This window comes from Homo sapiens, chromosome 8, assembly GCF_000001405.40.
Source record: "Homo sapiens chromosome 8, GRCh38.p14 Primary Assembly".
Classification (NCBI taxonomy): domain Eukaryota; kingdom Metazoa; phylum Chordata; class Mammalia; order Primates; family Hominidae; genus Homo; species Homo sapiens.
This window is the reverse complement of record NC_000008.11, coordinates 126,253,551-126,263,301: the sequence shown is the minus strand read 5'-3', so window position 1 is coordinate 126,263,301 and position 9,751 is coordinate 126,253,551. Positions and strand designations below refer to the sequence as shown.

The 9,751-nt window shown below is 36.7% G+C and overlaps 1 annotated feature.

The window, feature by feature from the left end:
• Nucleotides 8,111-8,272: a silencer, noted in NCBI's record as "fragment chr8:127267275-127267436 (GRCh37/hg19 assembly coordinates)". NCBI's record gives its function as "represses an EF-1alpha promoter that drives an FKBP-Casp9 reporter gene in an ReSE screen in phorbol 12-myristate 13-acetate-treated (for megakaryocytic differentiation) K562 erythroleukemia cells {active_cell/tissue: K562(+PMA)}" and the evidence as "EXISTENCE:reporter gene assay evidence [ECO:0000049][PMID:32094911]".

Genomic DNA, 9,751 nt, shown 5'->3' with positions numbered 1-9,751 from the left:
AATCAAATCCAAAGAGATGGGGCCAGCAGTGGTGGCTCACCCCTGCAATCCTAACACTTTGGGAGGCCAAGGTGGGTGGATTACCTGAGGTCAGGAGTTTGAGACCAGTCTGAACAATATGGTGAAACCCCGTCTCTCATAAAAATACAAAAATTAGCCAGGTGTGGTGGCACATGCCTGTAATCCTAACTACTTGGTAGGCTGAGACAGGAGAATTGCTTGAACCCGGGATGCAGAGGTTGCAGTGAACTGAGATTGAACCACTGCCCTCCAGCCTGGGTGACAGAGCAAGACTCTATCTAAAAAAAAATAATAAATAAATAGAATTAAATCCAAAACACTTTGACTTAAAAAATAAGTATTTATTTCATATAAATACCAGTTCATAAATTTATGAGTCAGTAATTCAGCCCAAACAGCTTTTGTGGTCTCAACTGGAAGCACTTGCATGTCTGTTAGATGGTGACTTTGGCATCTGCAGTTGTCTGGCTGCTGGCTGGAGAGACTTGACTTTGCTCCATATGTCTTGCATCCCCCCAGCCAGATAGCCCGGGCATGATCTCATGGAAGAGACAGAGGTGGAAGAGCTAGATGAATCTCTACACCCAAGCACTATTCAAACTTCTGTGTATATTAACTTATTAATATTCCTTTGTCTAAGGCAAGTCATGTGGCCTAGCCCAGAGTCAGAGTGACAGGGCACTGCATAGTTACATAGAAAAGACTACGGCTACAGGGACAGGTGAAAACATGGACTTTGCATTTTTGCAATGAAACCATCATTAACTGAGGGAAAAACTTTCAGTGAAAAAGGATAGATATTTATGGCCCTTGTGGCCTCAGTACTAGGTGTTTCCAATTATAATATCTGCTAGCGTCCCCATCCTTGTCTTTACCTCACTTCGGGAACATTTTCACTTCTAGGACCTCCTGTATTTGAAGGCATTCCGACATTACTTAACCTTCCTTGAATTACAAAAATTTTCCTGTACTTTAGAATTCTCTAGTCCTAAACTGAGAGCACATTTCAAAATTTTCTCCATAAATTTGGGAATTTAAAATGATTAACTGTATTCAAATTAAGTTTAATAGATGGCATTATTTAATACTTGCTATGCTCCAAATTAGGAGATTCTTTAATGTTGCAGGTTTTGTAAAATAAATTGATTTTTCTTCTGTTGAATAGTCCAAGTTTAACATTTTTCATAGAAAGTTTAGTTGGTGTGGGGATTACTTTTTATATCAGATAAACAACGCTATGATGACTTCTACACTCAAAACTGAGGAAAAACAGACGATGCAGGGAGAGATTTATTTGTATAGGGAAAAGAGGAATTTTACTGAATTTTAGGAAAATGAGTTACTTTATTTCCTTTATTTAATTGAATTATTTAATTCACTATCAGAGTAGCATATCGCTCACAGGCAATAATTTTGAGCTTAAAAATGTTAGAGGTAGTGAGTATTCTATCGGTGGAGATGTTCAAGCCAAAACTTCATTTTTTACCTTGGATCTTAGTAAAGGTATGTAAGAATTGGGCTAGGCTAGAAGGTTTATAATTTTTTTTTTTTTCTGACTGTGAGTCTACAACGAGTTCAAGTTAGAATTTTCTTTGTTTCAAATACATGAACATTATTATTTCTTAATAATATCCTAGATTCCATACAGGTAATCTCCGTTGTAGTTTACCTATATGTTCATGCAGCATTGTAATTTCAGCAGAATTAAGGCATATGCACTTATCAAGAGTCAAAAATTAAATTCAGTGGCTGCATGTTCTCATTTCATTGACCTGCATATGACTTTGATAAATAAGCACTTTTGCCTTGGTAAGTAACACTTTTAGATAAAATACTGATTTCCCCCTTGGTATTTTTTTAATACAGAAGAAAATTTGCACTGCTTTCCACTAATTTTATTGTGGCAGATTGGCATTATTCCTAGAGTGCAATAAGTATTGCTTACATGAAAGAGGAGAGCGGGACAGGGAAGCTTTTTAAAAAATTTGCTTCATTTGGTTGTTTAGGTTGATAACTATTTACCAAGTACCTATATAGCAAATAAAGTGCTGGGAACAGAAAAGACAAACACGAATAAAATCTACTTCTTATCCTTGAGCATCTTATGAACTTGTAGGAGATTAAATGAAGGAGACAGCGCTACAGTATTGAAAAATGTTTTGCTTCGTTATACCTGGAGCACAATGGAAGAACACAAGGGAACACTTAGCCCAGGAGTCAGGGGAGGCTTCTTGGGAGAGAAAAATCTAAACCAACTGAATAATGATAAGTAGGATTAGAAGTGGGAGTAGTGAGAGCAACAGGAAGCAGCCAAATGCCTTGGCAGAGACTGGTCGCCGGTGAAACCCTACCTCCAAGCCAAAGACAATTTAAAGCCTAAAAGCTAAGCTACAGGTTAAATCCTTGGACTGGATTGAGTACTTGTCTTCCTGTTTGGTGCACTTTCCTCTGATTGATCTCCACCCTTCACCTATTTTACATGTATATACCCTTTCCTAATTGGTTTTCTACACTGCCATACTCACCTTTGGGTGATGTCTTCACTTTGCATACTTATAAGCCAGTCAGCATGCACTCCCCATTCTGAGTCCACAAAACACCCTGGACCCAGCCACATGGGAGACTTGCCCACCTTCCGGTAGCGGAATCGCCCCACTGCATCCCCTCTGCTGAGAGCTGTTCCGTCGCTCAATAAAATTCAGGCCACCCTCCTCACACTTCAATGTTCACCATATCCTCATTCTTCTTGGGTGCAGTACAAGAGCTTGGGAACTGCTGATTGTGGGTACAGGCTATAACACTGGGGCATACCAGTGTGGCTGAGCGAGGCCCAGGTGGGTTGTCACCAGCCAAGGGTCTCTGGCCTGCAAAGTGATGGAGAAAAGAAATCCTGCATCAGTAGGATTAGAGTAGAGCTTGTATGTACAGAACATTGTACTCATTGATCTTACATAAAAATTTGTCACATAGTGCCATAAACCAGTTCTCAATCAATGTAAAATAATTAATATCCTATAGATCACATAATGCATTTAGGGTAGGCTCAATACGAAAAGGAAACTTGAAAATTCTCATATGTTTGGAAATTTAAAAACACTTATTAATTACTCATAGGTCAAAGAAGAAATCACAAAGGCAAATTTAAAATAGAGTTAGATAATAGTACAAATTTTATATACTAAAACTTGTGGAATGCACCCAAAGAAGTATTTGGAGAAAAATGTATAACTCTCAATTCTAATATCAGAAATGGAAAAAATGCTGATAAACTTCACATTCCAACTAAAGCAAACAGGGAATCAATAACACCCAAAGGGAAGCAATAATGAAAACAAAGGTAGAAAGTGTCAGCAGACTCAAAACTAGATCCCTTCCTTACACCTTATACAAAAATTCGCTCAAGATGGATTAAAGACTTAAATGTAAGACCTAAAACCATAATAACCCTAGAAGAAAACCTAGGCAATACCATTCGGGACACAGGCATGGGCAAAGACTTCATGACTAAAACACCAAAAGCAATGGCAACAAAAGCCAAAATAGACAAATGGGATCTAATTAAACTAAAGAGCTTCTGCACAGCAAAGAAACTATCATCAGAGTGAACAGACAACCTACAGAATGGGAGAAAATTTTTGCAATCTATCCATCTGACAAAGGGCTAACATCCAGAATCTACAAAGAACTTAAACAAATTTACAAGAAAAAACAAACAACCCCATCAAAAAGTGGGCAAAGGATATGAACAGACACTTCTCAAAAGAAGACATTTATGCAGCCAACAGACATATGAAAAAATGCTCATCATCACTGGTCATCAGAGAAATGCAAATCAAAACCACAATGAGATACCATCTCACACCAGTTAGAATGGCGATCATTAAAAAGTCAGGAAACAACAGATGCTGGAGAGGATGTGGAGAAATAGGAACGCTTTTACACTGTTGGTGGGAGTGTAAATTAGTTCAACCATTGTGGAAGACAGTGTGGCGATTCCTCAAGGATCTAGAACTAGGAATACCATTTGACCCAGCAATCCCATTACTGGGTATACACCCAAAGGACTATAAATCATGCTACTATAAAGACACACGCACATGTATGTTTCTTGCAGCACTATTCACAATAGCAAAGACTTGGAACCAACCAAAAAGTCCATCAATAATAGACTGAATAAAGAAAATGTGGCAAATATACACCATGGAATACTATGCAGCCATAAAAAAGGATGAGTTCATGTCCTTTGAGGGGACATGGATGAAGCTAGAAACCATCATTCTCAGCAAAATATCACCAGGACAGAAAACCAAACACTGCATGGTCTCACTCATAAGTGGGAGTTGAACAATGAGAACATATGGACACAAGGAGGGGAACATCGCACAACAGGGCCTGTTAGGGGGTGGGGGTCTGGGGGAGGGATAGTATTAGGAGAAATACCTAATGTAAATGACGAGTTTATGGGTGCATCTAACCAACATGGCAGATGTATACCTATGTAACAAACCTGCACGTTGTGTATGTGTACCCTAGAATTTAAAGCATAATAATAATAAAAAAAGAGAAAGTATCATCAGACTCAAAAGGTGGTTCTGAAATGGGGTAGGTTGAACAACCCCTTCCCCAAATGTATCCATGCCCTAATCCCTGAGATCTGTGAATTTTACCTTCTGTGGCAAAAGAGACTTTGCAGATACAAGTTAAGAATTTTGATAATGGGAGATTATCCTGAATTATTTGGTTGTGTCTAAAATGTAATCACAGGATACTATGAGGAGGTAAGAATGTCACAGAAAGAAGGCAATGTGACAAGAGCAGCAGAGATTGGCATTATGTAGCCACAAGCCAAGTGTGATGGTTAATTCTATGTGTCAACTTGACTGCACCATGGAGTACCCAGACATTTGCACAAATATTATTCTTGATGTGTCTGTCAGAGTGTTTCTGGATGAGATTAACATATGAATTGGTAGGTTGAGTAAAGACGATTACGCCTCTCAATGTAGGTGAGCTTCATCCAATCAGTTGAAGACCTAAATAGAACAAAAACGCTGAGTTAGAGGGAACGTCCTCTACCTAAGTGAGCAGGGACATTGGTCTTTTCCTGCTTGTTTCAAACCAAAACATTGATTATTCTTGGGTCTCGATCCTGCCAGGATTATATTATAAGTTACACCACCAACTACTTTGGTTCTTAGGCATTTGAACTTGAGCTGGAGCTACACCATCAGCTCTTTTGGGTTTCTAACTTGCCAATGGCAGATCTTGGGGACAAGGAATATATTGGCAAGGATCTGAAGAGGCAAGAAATAGATCCCCCCCAGAGCCTCCAGAAGCAATGCAGCCTTGCTAACAATTGGATCATGACCCTGTGAGATTCATTGCACACTACTGACTTCCAGAACAGTACAAGAATAAATGTGTGTTGTTTTAAGCTACCAGGTTTGTGGTATTTTTTTACAGCAGACATAGGAAACTAATACAACTAATAAAATACACAAACTTCTGACGAGATTGATCACAGAAAAAAAGAGAGAAGGAATAAATATGCAATACATATGACCTATTACTATTCTATGATAAGACTGGCTTTGTAGAAAATGCAAAAGAATATATTAAAAATTACTACAATTATAAGAGAATTTAGCAAGTTTTCTAGGTACAAAATCAATATAAAATTAATTAAAATTTTATATAGCAGTACCAGTTAGAAAATTAAAAAAGTATTATTTACAACAGTGTCGATATATATACAAAGTATATTTGGGGATTAAATTTAACAAAGGATGCAAAACATCTTTAAGGAAAAAATTATGAAACTTTATTAAGAACATTGAAGAGTACCTGAATAGATACAATGACATATTATATTCGTGGATTGAAAGACTCAATCTCTTAAAGTTGACAATTCTTTCCAAATTCTTCTATTCTTCTATTAATTCAGAACAATTCTAATCAGTTATATACATAATTTTTATAAATATTTATAAAGGTGTCTTACACCTTTTCCCCAGAAACCTAAATTTTAATGAAGTATTTTCTCTTCACTATGACAAATTATAAGCATGTTTTTCTTAAGAAATGTTATAAACTTGATTATGTGAATCTATTTTTTGAATATATTTTTGAGAAGAATTTATTTTAAAAAAGTTTATACCTAAAAATAAAGTACCATAAATAAGTTTTTTATATTTGAGAGAAAAGAGCATACACACTTAACTTCTGGCAAGTGTAAACAAGTCCCATAGTAAAAATTTTGTCACTAAAGTACAGTCTGCTGAGTGCCATTAAGCATACAATACACATCTGTCTGTGTTTCTCTGTAAAATGCTGAACTGAGTTTTTCTTTTTTTTTAGAACCACACATAGATTATCAGATGACTTCAGTCCTTGTGCAGACTGAGAGAAAAAAATATTTCTAGAAGCCGCTATGTAACTTTATTGGAAGTCAGCAGTAGCTGGGGCAGAAAGATGGCCAATCTTATTAAGGTAGTGCTTAAAACTTTGCCCCATCTCCACTAATTAGTTCCCTGCTTAGCGTGTTGAAGGAAATAAATGTAAATTTTGCACTGTGTGTATATGTCTGTGTGAATGTTTTCAGTAATTTTTCTCAGTATCACCTACCCTTGATATTCCAAACATGAGTTAATATTCAGAATACACCACAATTCAAATCCCAACTATGATTAGTTAATTCTAAAATTTGGAAAAGCAAAACTTAAAGAATAATTAGAATAATTTTTTTAAAAAGTAAGAACTTGCCTTGCCAGACAAAAATAATTATAAAAATATAATGATTGCAATAAATTATGCAGTTCTGTGATAGAAAATTTGACACATGGAAGAGAATCAAGAGCCCAGAAAAAGAAAAATAATTGTTAACTTTATTTATGAACCAGTGGCTATAAATAGAAATGATGGACTATGTAATTAATACATTAATAATGCTCTAACAACTGATTAACCATGAAGGAAACGATGAAATTTAATTTTTACTTCACAGCATACATAAGATATAATCTCAATTGATTAAAAATTTGAATGTGGAAGTCAAAACTTTAAAGCTTTCAGAAGACAATATAGGAGCTTTCTGACCTTGAATAGGACAACTTCTTAAAGAAGACATATAAAAGCAAGTGAAAATTTAAAGTGTAAGTCAAATTGACTGCCTTTACATAAGAGCATCTATTTATCAAAACACACCATAAACAGGATAAAAGAAAAACTACAAAATGTAATAATTAGGGTGCAAAATATACAAAGAACTCCTACAAATTAAAAAGACTACCTTATAAGAAAATGAGACAACAAGTCAGATTGCACTTTGCAGAAGAAGCAACCTGAATGGTCAACAAGCATGGGGAAAGTTCTTCCACTTATTAGTGATTAGGTCAATGCAAATTGAAGCCACAACGAGCAACTACTAGCATCTACCATATTGGCAAAAAGTTTTTAGAGTCTAACAATATGATGTAATGGCAAGAATATGGAACAGCAAGAACTTTCATATACTGCTAGCAGGTGTGTATATTGCTTCAAACATGTTGGGAAAACCTTTGGTATCTAGTAAATTTGAACATCACATACTAATAAGCCAACAAATCCATTCCTAAGTGTATACTCCAGAAAAACATTTTCACATGTGTACCAATGGGCATAGATAATAATTTTATAGTAACAATGTCATTAATAGTAGAAGCACTGAGAGTAGATCACATCTAATCAGAGAGTGGATAAACAAATTAAGACGTGTTCATAAAACCGATTGCTATAAAAAGGTAAAAATGGCTGCATTTCAGCTACAGGGAACAATATGGCTCTAATAATTGTACAGTTCCATGCAACATACACAACTAAACAATATTTTTATTTAGGTATGCAAACATACATGTTACAATTTTAAATAAATGCAAGAGAATTGTAAATATAAAATTTAGGATTGTGATTACTTTTGTGAAGGAGAGAAAGGGATGGAACATAAGGAGGGACACACAGGAAACTTCAAAGTTAAAGACAATATTCTTTCCTTAAGCTAATTTGTGGGTTCATAGCTGTTTGTTTTATTGTGATTCATTATACTTTACACTGCTTTTATAAACATATTTATAAACATTGTATAAACATTACTTTGGATTTGTCCAAGAAATACAACTTTTTAAAAAGTAGGTATGTTGTAGGGGTTGCTTGGAGTAGATGGGTGAACACAGCATTGGCGAAGGCACAGAAGTGAAAAGCAGCCCAGTGCTTAGGAAGGATGTGAACCGTGAAGCATTAGAAGAGCCCATACTGTGAGGGAGGTGGAGACAGCTGGAAGCAAAGTTGGAGAGGCAGGTATTCATTAGAGAGGCACTTCTAAGTGAATATGGAGCTTGTACTTTCTAATACAAATGACACAAAATGTTGTGAAGGGATTTTGAATAAAGAATGACTCAATCATGGTGCATCACAAATAAATTACTATTGTAGTGGCACAGTAAAGAGCTGTGGCTCTAGGCGATGCACAATAAAATCACAGAGGCTCCATCCCTAATACTCTGATATATTAAGTTGGTAAAGGGTTGGGCTAAAATGTTAGGAATTGAAGAGGATAGATATCACTGGAACAATAATCATAGCAAGTGTAGTGGGCTGGCTTCTAAGATGGCTTCCAACAATTTTTGCCTGCTGGTGTTTATGCAGTTGTGCAGCCCCTTCCCTTTGAGTACAGGCTGGACCTAGTGAACTTGCTTCTAGTGAATAAAATAGGGCAAAGGTAATGGAGTGTCATTTCCAAGGTTTTATTGCAAAATACTGTGACTTTGTACGTTCTCTTAGTAGTCTCTCACTCTCTCTTGTCTTGCTTGCTCATTCTGATGAGGCCAGCTGCCATGTTGTGAGATCTTCTGTGGGAGAGGCCCCACATGGCAAGGAACCTAGTGGGGAGATCTCTGGCTAAAGGCCCAGGAAAAACTGAATTCTGCCTACAATCACATGAGTGAGCTTGGGAGTAGATCTCTCTCCATTCCCCCACAGTCAAGCTTTGAGATGACTGAAGAGCCAATGGACACCTTGGTTGCTACCTATGAAAGGCTCTGAATCAGAGGACCCAGTTAAGTTGCAACCAAATTTCTGACCCAGAGAAACTGTGAGATGATAAATGTTACCTTAAGCTACTACCTTTTGGGGTAATGTGTTATGCAGCAACACCTAATGTTAGAATGAGGATGATAGGCGGAATAATGGCCCTCTAAAGATGTCCACGTCTTAATCTCTGGAACTTGTGAATATGTTGTTATATAAAAAGGAAGCATTGAGTTTGATAATCAACTGACCTCGCAATGAGGAAATTATTCCAGTGGGTCCAATGTAATTGCAGGGGTCCTTATGAGGAAAAGAGGGAGGCAAGAGAAGAAGTGTCAGAGGGGTATGGTGATGCATTGCTGGCTTTGAAGATGGAGGAAGTAGCAACAAACTAAGGAATGTAGGCAGCCTTTAGAAACTGGAAAAGGCGAGGAAACAGATTCTGCCCTAGAACTGTCAGAAGGAACCCAGTGTTGCTGACACCTTGATTTTGGCCTAGTGAGATTCAGTTTGTACTTTAGACCTCCAGAACAGTAGTATAGTACATTTGTGTTTTTTTAAGCTGCAAAGTTTGTGATAATTTGTTACAGCTGCAATAGAAAATAATACCATGATAGTAATACCAATGCCAGTAGTAATAACAACTCTGTGATGTGGGTATTTGTAGTAT